The sequence below is a fragment of the Homo sapiens genome, chromosome 11 (genome assembly GCF_000001405.40).
Source record: "Homo sapiens chromosome 11, GRCh38.p14 Primary Assembly".
In the NCBI taxonomy this organism is placed as follows: domain Eukaryota; kingdom Metazoa; phylum Chordata; class Mammalia; order Primates; family Hominidae; genus Homo; species Homo sapiens.
The window spans coordinates 96,467,738-96,489,956 of record NC_000011.10 but is presented as its reverse complement, the minus strand read 5'-3'; the positions used below and the strand labels follow the sequence as shown (position 1 = coordinate 96,489,956).

Here is a 22,219-nt window from a genome sequence, read left to right as displayed (position 1 = left end):
CTACAGACTGCTTTAAGTGTGTCCCAGAGATTCTGGTATGTTCGTATCTTCGTTCTCATTGGTTTCAAAGAACATCTTTATTTCTGCCTTCTTTTCATTATTTACCCGGTAGTCATTCAGGAGCAGGTTGTTCAGTTTCCATGTAGTTGTGTGGTTTTGAGTGAGTTTCTTAATCCCAAGTTCTAATTTGATTGCACTGTGGTCTGAGAGACTGTTATGATTTCCATTGTTTTGCATTTGCTGAGGACTGTTTTACTTCCAATTATGTGGCCAATTTTAGAATAAGTGTGATGTGGTGCTGAGAAGAATGTATATTCTGCTGATTTGGGGTGGAGAGTTCCATAGATGTCTATTAGGTCTGCTTGTTCCAGAGCTGAGTTCAAGTCCTGAATATCCTTGCTAATTTTCTGTCTCATTGATCTGTCTAATATTGACAGTGGGGTGTTAAGCTCTCCTGCTATGATTGTGAGGGTGGCTCAGTCTCTTTGTAGGTCCCTAAGAACTTGCTTTATGAATCTGGGTGCTCCTGCATTGGGTGCATATATATTTAGGAGAGTTAGCTCTTCTTGTTGCATTGATCCCTTTACCATTATGTAATGGCCTTGTCTCTTTTAATCTTTGTTGGTTTAAAGTCTGTTTTATCAGAAATTAGGATTGCAACTCCTGCTTTTTTTTGCTTTCCATTTGCTTGGTAAATATTCCACCATCCCTTTATTTTGAGCCTATGTGTGTCTTTGCACGTGAGATGGGTCTCCTGAACACAGCACACTGATGGGTTTTGACTCTTTATCCAATTTGCCAGTCTGTGTCTTTTAATTGGAGCATTTAGCCCATTTACATTTAAGGTAAATATTGTTATGTGTGAATTTGATCCTGTCATTATGATGCTAGCTGGTTATTTTGCCCGTTAGTTGATGCAGTTTCTTCATATTGTCAATGGTCTTTACAATTTGGTATGTTTTTGCAGTGGCTGGTACTGGTTGTTCCTTTCCATGTTTAGTGCGTCCTTCAGGAGCTCTTGTAAGGCAGGCCTGGTGGTGACAAAATCTCTCAGCATTTGCTTGTCTGTAAGGATTTTATTTCTCCTTTGCTTATGAAGCTTAGTTTCGCTGGATATGAAATTCTGGGTTGAAAAATCTTTCCTTTAAGAATGTTGAATATTGTCCCCCACTCTCTTCTGGCTTGTAGGGTTTCTGCCGAGAGATCTGCTGTTAGTCTGATGGGTTTCCCTTTGTGGGTAACCCGACCTTTCTCTCTGGCTGCCCTTAACATTTTTTCCTTCATTTCAACCTTGGTGAAACTGACAATTATGTGTCTTGGGGTTGCTCTTCTCAAGGAGTATCTTTGTGGTGTTCTCTGTATTTCCTGAATTTGAATGTTGGCCTGCCTTCCTAGGTTGGAGAAGTTCTCCTCAATAATATCCTGAAGAGTGTTTTATAACTTGGTTCCATTCTCCCCATCACTTTCAGGTACACCAATCAAATGTAGATTTGGTCTTTTCACATAGTCCTATATTGCTTTGGCTTTGTTCATTCCTTTTATTCTTTTTTCTCTAATCTTGTCTTCTAGCTTTATTTCATTAAGTTGATCTTCAATCTCTGATATCCTTTCTTCTGCTTGATCAACTCAGCTACTGATACTTGTGTATGCTTCATGAAGTTCTCTTGCTGTGTTTTTCAGCTCCATCAGGTCATTTATGTTCTTCTCTAAACTGGTTATTCTAGTTAGCAATTCCTCTAACCTTTTTTCAAGGTTCTTAGCTTCCTCTCATGTGTTAGAACTCTGGTTCTGGTTTCTCCCCATCTTTGTGGATTTGTGTACCTTTGGTCTTTGATGTTGGTGACTTTAGGATAGGGTCTTTGAGTGGACATGCTATTCCTTTCTGTTTGTCAGTTTTCCTTCTAACAGTCAGGCCCCTCTGCTGCAGGTCTGCTCGAGTTTGCTGGAGGTCCACTCCAGACCCTCTTTGCCTGGTTATCACCAGTGGAGCCTGCAGAACATCAAAGATTGCTGCCTGTTCTTTCCTCTGGAAGCTTCATCCCAGAGGGGCACCTGCCAGATGCTAGCCAGAGCTCTCCTGTATGAGGTGTCTCTTGTCCTCTACTGGGAGGTGTCTCCCAGTCAGGAGACTTGGGGATCAGGGACCCACTTGAGGAGGCAGCCTGACCCTTAGCAGAGCTCGAATGCGTGCTGGTCTGCTGCTCTCTTCAGAGCCAGCAGGCAGGGGTGTTTAAGTCTGCTGAAGCTGTGCCCACAGCCACCCCTTCCCCCAGGTGCTCTGTCCCAGGGTCATGGGGGTTTTATCTATAAATCCCTGACTGGGGATGCTGCCTTTTTTTCAGAGCTGCCCTGCCCAGAGAGGAGAAATGTGGCAGTCTGGCCACAGTGGCCTTGCTGAGCTGCAGTGGGCTCCACCCACTTTGAACTTCCCGGAGGCTTTGTTTACACTGTGACGGTAAAACTGCCTACTCAAGCCTCAGCAATGGCAGATACCCCTCCCTCCACCAAGCTTGAGCGTCCCAGGTTGATCTCAGACTGCTGCCGTGCTGGCAGTGAGAATTTCAAGACAGTGGATCTTAGTTTGCTGGGCTCCTTGGGGATGGGAACCGCTGAGCCAGACCACTCGGCTCCCTGGCTTTAGCACCCCTTTCCAGGGGAGTGAACAGTTCTGTCTCGCTGGCATTCCAGGCGCCACTGGGGTATGGGAAAAAAAAAAAAACAACTCCTGCAGCTAGTTCACTGTCTGCCCAAACGGCCACCCAGTTTTGTGCTTGAAACCCAGGGCCCTGGTAGGATAGGCACCAGAGGGAACCTCCTGGTCTGCAGGTTGCGAAGACCGTGGGAAAAGCACAGTATCTGGGCCAGAGTGCACAGTTCCACAGGCTCAGTCCCTCACAGCTTCCCTTGGGGAGGGGAGAAAATTTTCCAACCCCTTGTGCTTTCCAGGTAAAGCAACACCCCACCCTGCTTCGGCTTGCCCCCCATGGGCTGCACCCACTGTCCAATCAGTCCCAATAAGATGAACTGGGTACCTCAGTTGGAAACGCAGAAATCACCTGCCTTCTGTGTTGATCTCACTAGGAGCTGCAGACCAGAGGTGTTGCTATTCAGCCATCTTGCCAGCAATCGGCTTTTGTTTTTTTTGTTTTTTTTTGTTTTTTTGTCGCCCAGAGTGGAGTGCAATGGCATGATCTTGGCTTACTGCAACCTCTGCCTCCCGGGTTCACATGATTCTCCTGCCTCAGCCTCCCAAGTAGCTGGAATTACAAGTGCACACCATCACACCCGGCTAATTTTTTGTATTTTTAGTAGAGGGGGTTTCACTATGTTGACCAGACTGGTCTCGAACTTCTGACCTCGTGTTCTGCCTGCCTTGGCCTCCCAAAGTGCTGGGATTACACGCATGAGCCACCACACCCGGCCATGATTGACCTACTTCTAGGCAATGATGTAAAGAGAAGTCCACTGAAGACTTAGGGTTGGGGTATTTTTCCTTCCACATAAGAAAGAAACATAGAAGAAAATGTTCTATTTTTGCCCCTTCTCTCTTCCTTCCTGCTTGATATGATTCTGTGTTAGAATGTAGTATCTGGAGCTATGGCAGCTATCCTGAGATGATGAGATGAAAAATCTGAGGACAAAATGTCAACACATTGAGAATGCAGTGAGAATAAATGGAAATAACCTAATTTCTTGATGGTGATGTTGGGTGCTTGAAGTATACAGAGAACATCTAACATCAGGCTACTTGTTAAACAAACAAGAAATGTCCTCATGTTTTAGTCACTATTAGAGTATTCTCTTATTTGAAACTGAATCTAAGTAATAGAAGCACAATTATCCTCTAGGTAAGAGTAAATTTCTCCCAGATTTTGAATTTTTTTCTGTGAGTCTTTGTTCTCAATATTGCTGTAGGGTTTCATCTTTTTTCCTTTATCTTCTCAAAGTTTTTAGTAAAAATTTAGAAAAGTCTACTACACTAGGAGCAACTAGAAAAATTCTAGTTTAAATTAAAATTTTATATTCAGATTTTAATGACTTCACTCTCAAAGAGATTTTAAAGTCTCTGGAGTGGGTTTCCCCCTCCCGCCCTCCTCTATTTCCCTTCCTTCTCTATATATGATGACTCAAATAATCATATTGTCTTTCATGTGGCTAGTGTCTTACAAAAAGATGTAATATGCATTAACACATTTAATCTTCAGATCAACTCAACAAATATTTATTGTATAATTAATAATCTCAAGTCCCTGTGCTAAATACTCTGAAGAATAAAAAGATGAGGTAGAGTTCCTGCACCCATGCAGCCTACAAGCTGGTTGAGCTGGCAATACATATCCACCTATCTCCAATATAACTGTGATTTGTGTAATTTGAAATATAAGCAATACATTTTCAAAGCAAGAAGAAGGAATTAATTTTCCAAAGGAGAAAATCATTGAGTTCATAGCACAAAAGGACATATCATCCAGACATTAGCTACTTCCTTGTCCTCTTTAAGCTACCACCGAAAGAGTCTATTCAATACAACGTAGTGAACAATGTAACACAGAAGAGATGATTAGATAGCATACACCTGAGTCCAGGTTCTATTAGAACTGACTAGACAATTTAGCATAAGTTAAAATGACCTCTATAAATGTCTCTTTGCTCGTCTAACAAGGAAATAACATCTACATTTCAGGGTTTATTGCAAGTTTCAAATGAAGAAACATATAATGCTCTCAGTACAAAGTTTGTCTTATGATGGAATTTTAAAGTTATTTTTCTGTTGCTGTTATCATTATCACTAGTAATACCAAAATGAGAATGAGTTTCTTTATGGCCAAGAGCAGCACACATGCCAAAAATGGGTTCAAATGTGAGATTAAAGGAAACAGATGAGGGATTAAAGTGTAAAAAAAATAATAAACCAAAAAAAAAGTTTAAAACTGAAAGAACACATTTTACCTTGTTCTCATTTCCATCTAAGTTTGTCACACTTATATATTGCTTACATTGCTTGGCAAGAAGTTATTTATCCAACCAATAAGTTACAGCCTATAGTACCACCAACATACGTGATTATAGAACCTCCCTTCTGTTCTAGCTTATTACTCTTGTGCCTGCTATATTTTAGGAAACTGGAAGTTTGAACCTTTTATCTGTGTTCTAATAAGATTTATTATTACATAGCTCTGGTAAGGCCAACAGATCAGGGGACAATTGCCATTGAAAAGATAGTTTGTGATCCATAGTGTTCAAGAGGAGAAGGCACATCACACCATGCAGGGACCTAGCATGGGGCTAGTCAAAAAGCAGAGGAGGAGGGGGAAACTGTAGACAAGATCCTTTATCATAGTTTCTACAGGAAGGAATGGGCAAGGCAGGATAAGCAAGCTTCATTTTGTCTAATTTGAACAATTTCAGCAGACTCCAGGACAGAGGGGCCAATCCTAGTTGTCATGTAGCTGGCCCTGGGGTGATAGGGTAGGTGGATAGTGACCTGGAGTGTGAGAGCTCAGTAAAGTAGGTGATTGAGGTTGTGGACTCTGAATTAATTGGTTGGTATTTGAAAAGCATGCTGAAGAAGGCAAGTGATTTATTCTCTCTAGGAATTGGCTAACCCTGGGAGAAGCACTCCCTTTAGGGCCAGCAAGGCCGCAGATGTCAAAGTTGAAAAGTACAGAAAATAAAAGGCATAGTTAAAACAGTAGGTGAAGTAAAAACAAATACAGATTTAGTATGGGTCATTAGAGACCTTCCCAATTTTTAAGCATAAAGTGCTTGAGATCTGGCCCATAAAACACTCTAGTCAGGACTTTTGGATGCTTATTTTCTAGTTCTCTTTTATGTTTCAGATGGTAGAAGCTGCTGATTAAGTAAAGTACTTTGATATAGTGTGTCACAGAAAATACCTTTATTTCCATTCAGAGGACTAGTCCAAATATACTGACCTAAATATTCAACACTCAATTGCTGCAAATAAGCTTCCTAAGTCTACATACTTAAGACATCCCCATACCTCATAAGAATATTTTTGTTTTAATTAATTTTGAGCTGCTTAAGTCACTGAAATCTCTTAACTAAAATTCATGCAGAAGACCATCCAGTGCCTGCAGCTTTTAAACATTTTCTTTCATCACTTATCTAGGGATGAAAAAGCTCTTCATCACATCCACAGATGACATGGCCACCAGAGGTGGAAAAGAAGGGTGAGTCATTCACCCTTAGAAGATAAATTAGATTTCCAAATGACCCTGGCAGCAGAAGGAGGCAGAAATAAAAATAATGACTTTCAACCAGCACAAAAGTGCATTTTGAAATGAGAAACAAAGTGCAAAAACTCCAGATGAGAAACAGCTGACATTATGCAGCTACAAAAAGAGAGTTACAGATAGAGCTGACCTCAAGCTAAACAGGTGTCAAGAATGGTTCTGTCATTGGTGAAAAAAAAAAAAAAATGTGTTCTCAGGATGCATAAATAAAAGAAGCAGTAACATGAAGAATTCATGCAGCATTTCTGGACTATGTAGCTAAACTAATTCAAGGGAGATGTGTGGAATTTGGAGTGGATTCAAAGGAGAGCAACTATGATTTTGGAAAAGTTTTTTAAAAAAAGAACTGTTTAAACTTGGTAAAAGAAAGTTAATTAGGATTCTCAGGTGTCAGTTCATGTATTCCCAGAAGAGGTAGTTGCCTACATGGAGGGAAGGTGCTCTTGCCTAAAAATATTTCTGCCCAGTTGCCACAGCTCTGAAATTCTAACATTAAGATGTTATTCATTTAATAACAAAAGAGGTAATCTAGATTGAAGCTATACTGTCTGCATGAATATACTAGTCACTAACTTGAAAGTAGCCTCTGATTCAATTCCTCTAATGATGGAGCATTTCCTTTCTCATGATAATGGTAATCAGATGATGATGAAGATGATCCTTTATCATTCACTGACAACCTGCTGTGGGCTACACATTTTGCTAAATGTTTTAAAAGCATGGTAACATTCTCGGTGGGGCGTGGTGGCTCCCGCCTGTGATCCCAGCACTTTGGGAGGCCGAGGTGGTTGGATCACGAGGTCAGGAGATCGAGAGCATCCTGGCTACCACGGTGAAACCCTGTCTCTACTAAAAATACAAAAAATTAGCCAGGCGTGGTGGCACGTGCCTGTAGTCCCAGCTACTTGGGAGGCTGAGGCAGGAGAATCACTTGAACCAGGGAGGCAGAGCTTGCAGTGAGTCGAGCTCGCACCTCTGCACTCCAGCCTTGGCAACAGAGCGAGATTCTGTCTCAAACAAACAAACAAACAAAAAAGGATAGTAACATTCAACCCTATTTTTCAATGGGGAAATGGCAGCCTAGAATGGTTTTAGTACTTACCTAATATTGCACAAGTGGTGGAATGGATAATCGAATGTGTGCAGTAAGATTTTGGAGTCACTGCTGTTGACTACTACACTATGCTGCTTCCCATTCAATTGATAAGGAAACCAAGGCTCAGAAAAATTAAGCCACATTCCAAGGTTACATGCTGATAAAGCCCAGAGCTTGGCTCTGTACACAGGTCTGCCTGACTCCAGAGCCTCAGCATGTTCACCATCAAGCCACAGTCCTTTCTTGCTGACATTGAGGAACAATCTTATACATGCGCCATGCTCTCCTTCAAGCTTATTCTGTATAGAATTATTACAAATTGAAGAACATGGGAGGCTCTTAATAAATTTCCTTGAATAAAATAATTGAATTTATGTAACAGCAAGCTGCATTATGAAAAAAAGTGAAAGCTATAAAAATTAAGTTTCATGAACAGAAACAAATCTAAAAAAAAAATACTCTCTTTTGCCACAATTTGTTTCCCAGAAAAGATAACAGTATCCAAGTCCTTTATAGCTATTTGTGTAACCTTGAAAGGGTTTCCTCTAAATCTGGTCACTGCATCATGGCCAACTCATTTAATATTTGGTTTTTGTTATGACAAGGAGATGGCAGGAATTCAAAGTCCTGTCCACTAGGAAATGGATAGAGATAGCCAAGTCACTGCTATCAACAGTCAATTTCACTCACTGTTAAACTGGATTCTGACCAAGGCTTAAGTAAAAAAGACCTTGAAAACTTAGCCATTCGATTCAGCTTTGAGCCTGACTTTAAATATTCTCCACCAAGATTACCATGTTTAAACATTTGGTAAAACCCTCCCTTCAATAAGAAGTGTGAATCAGGGAGCGCTCAAGGAGTCCTAAAGGAAGACGAAGTGGACTGTGAAATTCTCAAATATAATTATAAACTTAATAGTGTGTATATTCAATTCTGATTGGTGTATAATCACTTAACTAATAGAAAGAAACTAATTTGCCATTACAGCTGTTTTGAAATTACATTTAAAGGCAAAATCACAGTGCACTGGGAATTGCAGCCACAGAGCCACTGACTAGTTTTGCTTTGGAAAAAAAAAAAAAAAAAAGACTATTTCTCTCTCATTTCTCCATTAATACTTGCTAGTTGCTACAAACAGAAACTAAAAATAGAATTAGCATCGAAGTCCTGCAACAGCAATGACTAAATCAATGGATTGGCATGTTACCACAAGCTTGTTTCAGAGATCAGGGGCTGAGGTAGCACTTACTAAGCTTTGATGAAAACTGGTTTGTGGAATTACTTTTCACTAGGACCTAAATGCTGAAAATCACTTAAAACAGGTTCAAAGAATTGGGAATACTGACAAAATCCTTCTTATTCATGTTTATGTTTGACAAAAACAGCAGACCTATTCATGAGTCGTCACACCTCTTGAAAGCAAAACATCAGCTTATAACTTTGACAAATTAAGAGATTGTGACAAGTGAGATCAACACAGTATCTGACATTCAGTATTTAGAGTAGATTAATTCATGTATATTTAAATTATCAGTAATGATTCCTATATATATGTATAAGGTAACATCTTTATGTAAATCCTAATTATAAAACAGGATTACTCAACTTTAGCACTATGAAAATTTTTAGTCAAATAATTCTTTTTTGTTGGGGGCTGTCCTGCACATTGTAGGATCTTAGCAGGATCCCTGTCCTCTACCCACCAGATGCATGTGGTACATACATCCCTGCACCACCAGTTGTGCCAACCAACAGTGTCTCCAAACATTGCCAAGTGACTCTTGGGTAGCAAACTAGTCCCTAGTTGAGGACCAATGGTATAAAGTAACATTAGTTGCATATTACGAGTTAAAATGGCAGTACCACCACCATATCGTATATGCGGACAAATTTAAGGAAGAATAATTAATTTTAACTGACTTGTATAGTAGCCACAAAATGGTTTAATTTCTCAGGAGAAAATATCAGCTGTTATTATTAGAACTTCAGAGTCTCAGAATCTATTTATGGACCAAAGCTAACAGCTTTTTTTAAAAAAAAGATTAAAATAATAGAGAATATACTAGTCCAGCAGTTAAGGGACAGCCCAGAACACAGGGGGCAGAGAATGGTGCTCATCTAGTGATATTTGGTTGAAAACAAGCTGACTTGGCCCTGCTGAATCTAAGTCCCCTTACCCCTGCACCCCAAAATTAATCGATGGCTGAAGTCAACATTTTTTATTTTTATCTTAAACAAGAGAAATGTTAATCACATCACTTCTTCATTTCTAAAAACATAATCTATACCCTTAGACCAGGCAAAGTGTATGCAGCTGAATCCAGACTATAAAGCTGGTTTTTCTCTGCTGATTTACAATAGATTTTTACGACCTTGAACTACTTTTTCTTATTTAAGTTCTTCTCGTCTCTTAAAAATTGAGCTAATAGCACAAGCATATACCATTCTCCTTAATAATGATCATATATACTGGTTTTAAGACCTTCTTGATAAGTTCTCTAAGGTATTTTGAGGTGTTCAGTGATAAATGAAGAAATAAACTTTAATATTAAAAAGGATCTTTTATTCCACTGTGCAGACTGCAGAAATGTATAACTAATCATTAAAACATGGCCACCTTTGTTAGACTTAATATTGTTTTAAGCCAGTGCTTTCCAATCAACCAACCAAAGACATGTGGCAGGAAAAAATATACTTGCCCTGGAAGTCAGCAAACCTGGTTATAGGCCTCGTTCTGCCATTGGCTGCCTGGGTGAGCAGTTATCAGCTTTTAGCCTTTACTTTCACATAGGTATAATTAAATGGGCAAAATAAATGGTCTCTAAGTAATATTCAACTCTAAAAGTCCACAATTCTTTGTGTTTATTTTCTTCTTATATATATTTCACACTACACTTTCAGTTAGGGGAGAAGGAAATGACACTTCCTCTCAAATATCTCAGAATCTTTTTTGTTGTGGTTCTTTTTTATTGATACATAATGTTTGTACATATTTACAGGGTACTTGTGATATTTTATTACATGCGAAGACTGTACAATGATCAAGTTAGGATATTTGGGGTGTCCATCAAATCAAGAATTTACCATTTCTAAGTATTGGGAACATATCAAGTCCTTTCTTCTAGCTGTTTTGAAAAATACAATACATCATTGTTAACTATAGTCACCCTGCTCTGCTATCAAATATTAGAACTTAATCCTTCTAACTGTATGTTTTTACCCATTAATAAACCTCTTTTTATCCACCCCGCACTCACACATCCTTCCCAGCCTCTGGTAAATATAATTCCATTCTCTCTCTCCATGACATCAACTTTTTTAGTATCCACATACGAATGAGAACATGCAATATTTGTGCCTGGCTTATTTCACTTAACATAATAATAACCAGTTCCATTTACCAGTGCCATGATTTCTTTCTTTTTATGGCCAAATCACATTCTATTTTGCATATAAACCACATATTTTCTTATCCATTTGTCCCCTGATAGGTACTTAAGTTGATTCCATATCTTTACCATTGTAATCAAACAGCAAAGATTACAATAAAGAGAAGAGTGCAGGTATCATTTTGATACACTGATCTTTTCCTTTGGATGAAGAACCAGTAGTGGAATTGCTGGATCTTATGGTAGTTCTATTGTTAGTTTTTTGATAAAAAAATTTTTAGTTTTTTGATCGCCATGCTGTTTTCCATAGAGGCCATATTAATTTACATTCCCAGCAACGGTGTATGAGTTCTCTTTTCTCTGCATCCTTGCCAGCATCTGTTATGTATTGTCTTTTTATTAATAGCCATTCTAACTGGGATAATATCTCATTGTGGTTTTGATTTGCCTTTCCCAGATGATTAGTGATGTTGAGAATTGTTTCAATACCTGTTGGGCATTTAAATTTTCTTTTAATAAATGTCTATTCACATTTTTGCCCACTTTTTAATGAGACTATGTGGTTGGGGTTGTGGAATTGTTTGAGTTTCTTACACGTTTTGGATTTTAGTATGTTCTCAAACAAATATTTTACAAAATATTTTCTCCAATTCAACAGATTGTCTTTTCACTTTGTTAATTGTTTCTTTTGCTAGGCAGATGTCTTTTAGTTTAATATAGTTCCATTTGTCTATTTTTTTTTTTTTTTTTTGAGATGGAGTCTCACTCTGTTGCCCAGGCTGGAGTGCAATGGCGCAATCTCGGCTCACTGCAACCTCTGCCTCCTGGGTTCAAGCGATTCTCCTGCCTCAGCCTCCCGAATAGCTGGGATTACAGGCACGTGCCACCATGCCCCGCTAATTTTTGTATTTTTAGTAGAGGAGGGGTTTCACCATGTTGGCCAGGCTGGTCTCGAACTCCTGACCTCAGGTGATCCACCCATCTCGGCCTCCTACAGTGCTGGGATTATAGACGTGAGCCACTTCCCCTAGCCTATTTTGTTTTTGTTGCCTGTGCTTTTGAGGTTTTAGCAATAAAATATTTGCCTAGAACAATATCCTGAAATGCTTCTCCTATGTATTCTTCTAGTAGATTTACAGTTTCAGGTCGTACATTTAAGTACTTAAACCATCTTTATTTGGTTTTTGCATATGGTGAGTGATAGGGGTCCAGTTTCACTATTCTGCATATAACCATCCAATATTTCCAGCACCACTTATTGAAGAAGGTACTCATTCCCCAAGTATCTTCTTGGCACCTTCGTTGAAATCAGTTGGCTATAAATACATGAATATACTTCTGGGTTTTCCATTCTGTTCTGTTGGTCTATGTGTCTGATTTTATACCAATACCATACTGTTTTGGTTACTATAGCCTTGTAATACATTTTAAAGTCAGGTAGTGTGATGCCTCCAGCCTTGTTCTTTTTCCTCAAGATTGCTTTGGCTATTTGCATTCTTTTTTGGTTCCATATGAATTTTAGAATCATTTTATCTATTTCTGTGAATAATGGCATTAGTATTTTGATAGAGATTACATTTAATCTGCAGGTTTCTTTGTGTAGTATGGCAATTTTCATGATATTAATTCTTCTGATCTATGAGTATGAGATGTCTTTCCATTTGTTTGTGTCCTCTTCAATTGCTTTCATCAGCATTTTGAAGTTTTTCTTGTAGAGGTCTTTAACATCCTTGGTTACATATATTCCTAATTTTTTTCTACTTATTATAAATGGAATTGTTTTCTTGATTTTTCAATCAGGTAGTTTATTATTGGTGCATCGAAATGCTACTAATTTTCATATGTTGATATATGTTGCAACTTTACTGAATTTATTTATCAGATCAAAGATTTTTATGGTGGAGCCTTTACATTTTTCCAGATATAAGATCATATCATGAGCAAAAAGAAAAGATTTGATGGCCTCTTTTCTAATTCAGATGTTTTTCTTCTTTCTCTTGCCTGATTGATCTGGCTATGACTTCCAGTACTTTGTTGAATAGTATTGGTAAAAGTGGGCATCCTTATCTTATTCCAGTTCTTAGAGGAAAGGCTTTCAGTTTTTCCTCCTTCACTATGATGTTAGCTGTGATTTTGTCATATATGGCCTTTATTATATTGAGCTATGTTTCTTCTATGCCTAGTTTGTTGAGAGTTTTCATCAGGAAGGAATGTTTAATTTTATCAAATTTTTTTTCTGCTTCTATTAAGACAAAATATGGTTTTTGTCCTTCATTTTATTGATAAGGTGCATCACATTTATTGATTTGTGTATGTTGAACCATCCTTGCATCCCTGAGATAAATACCACTTGATCATGGTGTATTATCTTCATGGTGTGCTGTTGGATTCAGTTTGCTCATTTTTTGTTGAGAATTTTTGTGTCTATGTTCATCAGGGATATTGACTTGTAGCTTTTTTTGTGCATGGTATCCTTGTCTGGTTTTGGTATTAGAGTACTGCTGGCTTCATAGAATGAATTAGGCAGAATTCCCTCTTCTTCAATTTTTTTGAATAGTTTGAGAAGAATTCTCTTTTTGTTTCTTGGTCAGTCTAGCTACCAATTTATCAATTTTGTTTACATTTTCAAAAAACCAACTTTTCATTTCATTGATCCTTTCTATTTTATCTCTAGTTTAGTTCTGCTTTGATCTTTATTATTTCATTACTTCTACTGATACTGGGCTTGGTTTGCTCTTGCTTTTCTAGTCCTTTGAAGTGTATTGTTAGGTTTTTTCTTTGAGAAATCTTTCTACTTTGTGATATAGGTGTTCATTGCTATACACGTCCCTCTTAGCACTGCTTTTACTGTAACCCATAGGTTTTGATATGTTGAATTTTGATTTTCATTTGTTTGAAGAATGTTTTTTTAAATTTCCTTCTTAGTTTCTTCCTTGACCCAATGGTTGTTCAGTAGCATGTGTTTAACTTCCATGTATTTGTACAATTTCCAAATTTCCTGTTGGTATTGATTTTTAGTTTTATTCCACTGGGTCTGAGAAGAAATATGATATGATTTTGATTTCTTAAAATTTGTTGAGACTTGTTTTGTGTCCTAATATGTAGTCTATTTTGGAGAATGTTCTATGTGCTGATGAAAAGAATGTAGCTGTCGGATGAAATGTACTATTAATGTTTGTTAGGTCCATTTGGTCTAAAATGCAGTTTAAATCCAATTTTTTGTTGTTGTTGTTGATTTTCTGTCTAGATGATCTGTCTAATGCTGACAGACAGGTGTTGAAGTCCCCAGCTATTACTGCATTAGAATCTATCTCTCTGTCTAGATCTAATAATATCCGCTTTATATATCTGGGTGCTTTGGTGTTGGGATGCATTTCTGTTTATAATTTTTTGTCCTCTGGCTGAATTGATCCTTTACCATTATATAATAAATTTCATAAATTTATAAGGTCATTTTACATTTGTCTTGTTATTACTGTTTTTGTCTTAAAGTTTGTTTTATCTGACATAATTATAGCTTCTCTTGCTCACTTTTGCTTTCTTTTTCTATCCTTTGCTTTCAGACTATATATGTTTTTACAGGAGAGATGAGTTTCTGATAGGCAACATATAGTTGAGTAATTTTTTTATCCATTCATTCATTCTATATATTTTAAGTAGAAGGCTTAATTATTTACATTTATGGTTATTCTTGATATGTCAGGGCTTATTCCTGTTATTTTATTAATATCTGATTTTTTGGCATATCCCATTGTTACTTTTCTTTTTATCCTATTGCTTATTATTGTAAATTGGTGATTTTCTTTAGCTGTAATATTTGAGTCCTTTCTCTTCCTTGTTTGTGTTTTCTCTACCTGTGGGTTTTATACTTTAGTGTGTTTTCATGATGATAGATATCATCCCTTTGCTTCAAAGTATAGGACTCCCTTAAACATTTCCTGTAGACCATTCCAGTGGTGATGAATTCCCTCAGTTTTTCTAGTCCAGGAAAGACTATTTCTCAATTTATGAAGAATAACTTTTCTGGGTATAGTATCATTGACTGGCAGTGTTTTGTCATTGTTGTTGTTGTTGTTGTTTTTCTCAGTATTATGAATATATCACCCCATTCTCTCCTGTCCTGCAAGGTTTCTGCTGAGAAATCCTCTGTTAATCTGATAGTGTTACAGGAAAGGGGTCCCAATCCAGACCCCAAGAGAGGGTCCTTGGATCTCACAAGAAGGAGTTCAGGGTGAGTCCATAGAGTAAAGTGAAAACAAGTTTATTAGGAAAGTGAAGGAATAAAAGAATGGCTACTCCATAGAAAGAGCAGCCCCAAGGGCTGCTGGTTGCCCATTTTTATGGTTATTTCTTGATGATATGTTAATAAGGGGTGGATTATTCATGCCTCCTCTTTTTAGACCATATAGGGTAACTTCCTGACATTGCCATGGCATTTATAAACTCTCATGGTGCTGGTGGGAGTGTAGTCACAAGGATGACCAGAGGTCACTCTCATGGCCATCTTGATTTTGATGGGTTTTTCTATGGCTGTACCACCCTGAATACACCTGATCCCATCTGATCCTGGAAGCTAAGCAGGGTCAGGCCTGATTAGTACTTGGATGAGAGATTTTGGTGGGTGTTAGCTGGCTTCTTCTAACCTGTTTTATCAGCAACTTGTTTTATGACCTGTATTTTGTGCCAACCTCCTATTTCATCCTGTGACTTAGAATGCCATCACCATCTGGGAATGCAGCCCAGCAGGTCTTAGCCTTACTTTCCCAGCACCTATTCAACATGGAGTTGCTCTGGTTCACAAGCCTCCGACAATAGGGATTCCCATATGAGTGACTAAATGCTTTTATTGATTTTAGAATTCTCTCTTTGCCTTTGTCTTTTGATAGTTTGACTATAATATGCCTTGGAGAAAGTCTTTTTGCATTGTATTTATTTGGGAATCTCTGAGCTTCTTTTATCTGGGTGTCTAAATCTCTTTGCTAGACTTTGAAAGTTTTCAGTTATTATTTTGTTAAATAAGTTTCTATCCTTTTTATTTTCTCTTTACCTTCTGGGACATCAAAAATTTGAATATTTATTCACTTTGTGGTGTCCCATATGTCACACAAAATTTGTTCATTGCTTTTTATTCTTTTTCTATATTTTTGTCTGACTGGGTTATTTCAAAAGACCTGTCTTCAAGTTCTAAAATTCTTTCTTCTGCTTGATCTATTGTTGAAGTTTTTTTAATGTATTTTTTATTTCACTTAGTACATTCTTCAGTTCCAGAATTCCTGTTTGTTCTCTTTTATTATGTTTGTCTCTTTGATATATTCCTCATTCATATCCTGAATTGTTTTTCTGATTTCCTTGTATTGCTTTGGTTTTCTCCTGCTTCTCACTCAGCCTCTTTAATATCATTATTTTAAATTCCTTTTTTAGGATCTCATAAATTTCCTCTTGATTGGATTCTGTTTCTGGGGAATTATTGTGTTCCTTTGGAAGTGTCATGTTTTCTATTTTTTCATGGTTCTTGTGTCTTTACATTGATATCTGTATATCTGGTGTAATAGCTGCTTCTTCCAGTTTTTTTAAATTTGCATGCATAGGGAAAACTTTTTCCTAAAGATGTATCTATGGTGTTGGATGCACAGGGCACTTTAACTTTGATTGTAGGTGCAAGCAGGAGTGTAGTGTTTATATGATTTATTTGATTGTACACAGCATCAGTGGTGTCTGTGATTTCCACAGTGGCTTAGGGTATGGTTGCTAGTGAAAGCTTTGGTGAAGTTTTTCTGAGGATGGGGATGTCAGATGGGGATTTCCTCAGACTCCAGTTCTGTCAGCAACAGGCCAAACATGCCTGTCCTTGGGCCTCAGCATGGTGTATACTGCCACTGGTGTTAGCAGGTCCAAGCAGGCTGATTCTTGGACTTCCACGTGGCTTGCTCAAGTGCCAGTTGTAGCAGCAGTGGTCCAAGCAGGTGAATAGGTTCTCAGGCCCCTGGACAGCAGGTGTGACATGGGCAATGGCAGCAGCAATGGCAGGACAAACCTCTGGATTTCAAGCAGTCCATTCTGATGTTGGCAGTGGCTGCAATGGGCTGGGCCAGCCAGTCATCAGGCTCCCAGGTGGCACATGCAGGTGGGTGCCAGCTCTGGTGGTAGTGGCAGGCTGGATGGGCTAGATCTTGGGACCCCAGGAGGAGTATTCAGGTGGCAACAGTGATGGACTGGGCTGGGCAATCCCCAGGCACCTGGGCAGCATGCTGAGACACTGAGGAGGTGAAGCCAGGTGAGGAGGACCTGTCTTCAGACCCACCGGTGGTGTCTGCAGTAACTGGCTGTGGCAGGCAAAGGCAAGGTGATCCCCAGGCCCAAGGCAGTATGTCCAGGGGAGGGCAGCAGGGGCTGCACTGCAGCTCTTCTACTGAGGAGGTTGGAGTTGCTTTTAATGGTAACAGCCATATGCAGGTGGCTGGGAAGAGTGCACTTCACTCGCACTTCAGCCCCCACAGTGACAGCCAACAGCATGCAACTACTGCTGCTGGCAGGAGTTTGTTTTGGGGAGTGCATGAATGTGCATGATGGCTTTACTGCTGGAGGCAGTGGAGGTATTTGCCAATGGCTCATGCTCTAGCCCTGGCAGCAGTAGTCAGCCAAAGTGGTGGCTGCAGGTGGGGGATGTCAATGGGGCTCCAGAGATATGGAAATGCAAGGGCTGTTGGGTACCCAAGCAAGATGCAGTCCATTCTGGGCTGGGCTCTCAATATGGTGGCTTGCTGCAGCTGTTTAGGACTTGAGAAGTGTGTAGGACCCAGTGTGAGCTCCTTCTCTGAAGCAATGCCTTCACACAGTCTCCAAGCAGCTTCCTATGTTAATCTCGGGGACCACAAGGGTGCTGGGGCTTCCCCATGGCTGAGATGCATTCAATGGTTGGAATGTGGGCCACTAGGGGTCACTCATTTACCCTTTCCCTGCACTCAGGAGCCTCTCTAGCCTCCCAACCAATCCCAGATGAGCTGGCTGCTTCACTTCCTTCTCCTTTATCCTGTCACTTCTCAGCTGAATTCCAGTGTTCTCTCTTAGATGATTTATTCAAAGTGTGATTATCTACTCACTATTTTGGTTCTTATTCTTTGAGGAGGTGAGTACCAAATGCTTCTGCTCAGCCGTCTTGAAGCCTCTATCTTTGTCTTGGAATTTTTGAAAGGCTGAGTCAGTGAGACAGAAAATATGACAGAATATAAGTCTTCTTTTACTAGGAAAGCTACTGAGTATAACAGGAATCCAGGAAAAAAAATAACAGAAACAATGTTCAAGTGGACAATAAGGAGCTTACAAGTTAGTGGGAGACTTTAGATTCCTAGAATTGAGATGGTCCTCAAAGTTCATCTGAACAAACTGCATGTGAGGAAACTGAGTCTCACAGTAACGGGCTTTTTCAAAGCTTATAGCTTTTAGTGACAGAGCTAGAACCCAGTCTCTCACCCTCTGCTTCCAATTTTTCTGAAAATTATTCCAAATTAAAAGGTTAATAACATCTATGGAATTATTGACCTAATTATCCAGGATCATCCGTGTCAAAATAGTATCAAGGAAGAGGCACGGGAATAGGAGAAATAGCTCTTTGAAAGAAAATATATTGAAAAATTAACACAGCACTCTATTCCAATAATAAGCCTGAAGATTGTAGTCACTCATAATTCATGTAATACCCTAGCCACTGATTTTCTTTGTGGAACTGAGCAGAAAATAATCTTCGTGTTCTGCTCCCTGCATATTTCCCAGGGATGCAGTGAAGAAATAGAAAATCAAATGAAGCAAGAAAGTATTCATATATCGTGAAAAATAAATTAAATTTATGATTCTCCACCTAGCTATAATTTAGAATCACTTATTGAACCCAGTTACCATCTAAGACCTATAAAGTAAGGATCTTGGGGTGCTGGGCCTGGGAATCTGTAATTTTAAGTCTCAAAAAATGATTCTGATGCATGCCCCAGATAAGAAATCATTGGATTAGATTTTATTTTAATGAAATTCATTCAAATCCAAGATTCCCTGATTCTATGATGTATCTAAATAGACTTGAGTGAGATTTTGCAGCCATGTCAAGTCTTAAAGGAAACAAATAGTAATTGAGTACCTTTCCTGCTTCTGAACCCCATCTGGCTTCTGGGCATCATTAGAAAACATGAGGGGCGGTGGATGTTTATTTACCCTGAAAAGACCCTCTTATCAGAGCGTCATCCCTTAGGGATTTGAGTTCTCAAAAGAAGTCTTTATTTCAGAACGTTTAGGGGGAAAGAAGATACTATGAATGCTTGAAGGTATTATGTCCCTTTTTCCCATTTCCCCTTTCAAGAACGAATATGTTATCTAAAATAGTGCATATCCTAAGTACCATAGTCTCTAACATTAGAGATTGTGATTCACTCATTAGTTTTCAGCAGAAAACAAGGGCCTGAGGAAGAAGGGCAGCATGAAGGAGGGGGGAATTCTGGGTAATGGCAGGAAACAGAAAAAAAAATGGCATGACACAGAGGAAACATATGAGTCAGAACCACATAGCCCAAAGTTTGATCCCAAATCTACATGCTACTTTTTCTGAGATGGGTAGCTTTGAGCAAATCACATAAACCATATGATTTTCAGCTTTCTCATCTAGAGATTGTTAAAAATAGTACTGGTCATATATCATGATACTTTTATGATAATTAGACATATGACATGTCTGGTGCCCTCACTACAGTATTTGGCCCAAGGAAGTATTCAATAAATGGCAACAATTATTAACAGTACTAGCACTTTCCAGTGAAGTATGACATTGTGGAAAACCAAAGAACAAACAGGTAGAATAGGAATGTGGAAGTACCTGCTAAAGGCAGAAAATCTCCAAATAATGCAGAGATGCATTTAGTAGACAGTTTCAGCATTTAACCTAGCCTAAATGTATTTTAACATTGCATAACAGAGAATACCTATCTCTCATATGTCCCTCTCTCTCCCCCTCTATTCCTGTCTCTCTTTTTCTCCCTCTATATTAAACACCTACACTCCCCAATAAAGAAATAAATAATAGCACATTTATAGCACAACAACAAAACTACAAAACTAGTGTATCTGGCAAAAAAGCAAAGCCTTCTGCCACCAGCATCGCCAGGCATTTTGCACCCAGAAGATGCATGACAGCAGAATCCCCAAACAATGCTGCTTTACAAGCCAAAGTGGGGGTAACCTCAAGGAGGTCAAAGCCAAGGAAATGTACCATGCACATGAAAGCACAGCTTTGAACAGGAAAAAAAGCTAAGAAACGTTCATAACACTTCTGCAGCCAATCTGGCATGCAAAAGTCAGAAAAAGCAAGTTTTTTCAATCCAAGGCAATCAACATCTTTTGTAGGTAAAACGGCAGCACTCCAAGAAGCCACACAAGCTCTCCAATAACTGCTGTGTCTGTAAGTCATAGGATAAGGTAGGCAGCATGGAAAAGACTGCTGACCCCACACCCACTGCCAGCCACAATCAAACATCTAATATGAGGGAGAGTTATTTACAGGCACTAAAATCTACTTAGCACTATTGTCATATACCAAAGTCTACAAGCGAAATAATTCCCAAGGGCATCTGGGCCAGCTGTCACCCTGACTTCACAATGAATGGAGTTTGTTTTGACAGCTATCTGCTGCCATTTTTGCCTCTATATAACTTTTCTAATATCTTCCCTCCTCTTCTTTCTACTCCACGAATTAGCTTTTATTGAGCACCCATTTTGTATGTGCATGATGCTGTGGCAGGGACACAGATAAAAAAGCCTTGGGTCTTGACCTCAATACATCCATAGTACACAAATAGATAATGAGAGTATAAAGTGAGAAGTATCTAGAAGAATAAAACTAAAGTGGGAAGGAGGGAGCTTAATTCTGCCCAGGGAATCAATCAGAGATCATAGAGGTAGAGACATTTGAAATGGGCATGAAAGGATCTATAAGTATTTATGTCTGAGAGAATGGAAAAAGCAACCCAGGCAAAAGTCTCGTAATAGGAGATATGTGCGGGGCATTGACCATGTTCTATGTGGGATTTGGTAAAGAAAATGGCATGATGTGAGGCAGGAAAACTAGTCTGCGGGAAGATTCCCAAATCCCTAAGCATTCGTCCTAGCAACCATTGACATGGTCTGTCCTTTCATTCACCCCCATCTGCTCAGTGCCCAGCACGTGCCTGATGTGGCATAAACCTGGGGTTGTAGCTGTGTACAGCTCTTTATAGTACCCTCACCCAGATCTGCCTTATACCTTAACACTTCTAACTCCAGAAAGATCCCCCTCTGTGGACTCTGAGCCCTCCAAGGAATTACTAACTAAAGCATTAGAAAAGTTGAGGCCAGGCGTGGTGGCTCACGCATGTAATCCCAATACTTTGGGAGGCCAAGGCAGGCAGATCACTTGAGGTCAGGAGTTCAAGACCACCCTGGCCAACATTGTGAAACCCCATCTCTACTAAAAGTAAAAAAAAAAAAAAAAAAAAAAAAAAGCTGGGCATGGGGCATGGTAGTGGGCATCTGTAATCCCAGCTACTTGGGAGGCTGAGGCAGGAGAATCACTTGACCCAGGAGGTGGAGGTTGCTGTAGCCGAGATCACGCCACTACACTCCAGCCTGGGTGACAGAGTAAGACCCTGTCTCAAAAAAACAAAAAGAAAGAAAAAATAAAAGAAAAGTTGAATGCCTACTCTTCCAGTGGGTTTTTGCATTTTAGAAGAAGACATATTGACTCAAATGGAAAAATTGGCATGGAAAAAATTTTGAGCAGAAGAACCATTCTGCCCTTCATAGCTTACCCTTAGGTGTCACTCCTCATTCTCTCTGCTTATCCTTATTTCTGAATTAGAAGAGCAGAGGTATACCTGCTTATTTGCACCCCACTCCTGATCTTTGATTTCTCTCCACTAGAAGTCACGTCAGTTCTCACAGGAATTCAAGAGGTTTCAATCTCACCCCTGCTACACATTCACGTGACAGATGAGGTTCACATATGGAACACATTTTCCAAGTGCAGCCTATATAATGGCCTGAAACACAAACAAAATCAACCTGAGATTTTGTAGGGTTACTAGGATGCTACATATACTAGGATACTCCATTACCCTCCCACATAAGAAAGCATGCTGGAATGAAAGTAAGCCTGGGGTTACAATAGGGATAGTCTTGAATCCATTCTAATTTGTAAAGGAAAAATTGTAAGCAAATGTTGTTACTTCACTACTAGTATCACATCACATGAGGCATGCTTCTAAATGATCCTGTTCCTCTAGTATGACACATTACCAAGCTGGAAAGTCACTGGCAAAGGTTCATACATATAATCTGACAGTTCTCAGTAGTACACTGTATGTCAGTAATGCATCTATAGTTTTCAAAAGTGTCCAGTTCACTCTTAAGGCCTACATTACAAATAGTTTGATTCGACTCATTAATGTGCTATACATACACCA

At 39.1% G+C, this 22,219-nt stretch overlaps 1 long non-coding RNA gene and 1 pseudogene across 1 annotated transcript in view, besides 3 other annotated features; both read left to right on the top strand.

Moving 5' to 3' along the window:
- JRKL-AS1 (JRKL antisense RNA 1) overlaps positions 1 to 22,219 on the top strand; it is a 63,596-nt gene that overhangs the window by 16,920 nt on the left and 24,457 nt on the right. The window lies entirely within an intron of this gene.
- Positions 1,666 to 2,460: an enhancer, noted in NCBI's record as "H3K27ac-H3K4me1 hESC enhancer chr11:96220661-96221455 (GRCh37/hg19 assembly coordinates)". NCBI's record gives its function as "activates a minimal SCP1, AML or CMV promoter by ChIP-STARR-seq in naive H9 embryonic stem cells {active_cell/tissue: H9 hESC(naive)}" and the evidence as "EXISTENCE:reporter gene assay evidence [ECO:0000049][PMID:30033119]".
- RNA5SP346 (RNA, 5S ribosomal pseudogene 346) lies at positions 15,265 to 15,385 on the top strand (annotated as a pseudogene).
- Positions 16,443 to 16,942: an enhancer, noted in NCBI's record as "H3K4me1 hESC enhancer chr11:96206179-96206678 (GRCh37/hg19 assembly coordinates)". NCBI's record gives its function as "activates a minimal SCP1, AML or CMV promoter by ChIP-STARR-seq in primed H9 embryonic stem cells {active_cell/tissue: H9 hESC(primed)}" and the evidence as "EXISTENCE:reporter gene assay evidence [ECO:0000049][PMID:30033119]".
- Positions 16,943 to 17,444: an enhancer, noted in NCBI's record as "H3K4me1 hESC enhancer chr11:96205677-96206178 (GRCh37/hg19 assembly coordinates)". NCBI's record gives its function as "activates a minimal SCP1, AML or CMV promoter by ChIP-STARR-seq in primed H9 embryonic stem cells {active_cell/tissue: H9 hESC(primed)}" and the evidence as "EXISTENCE:reporter gene assay evidence [ECO:0000049][PMID:30033119]".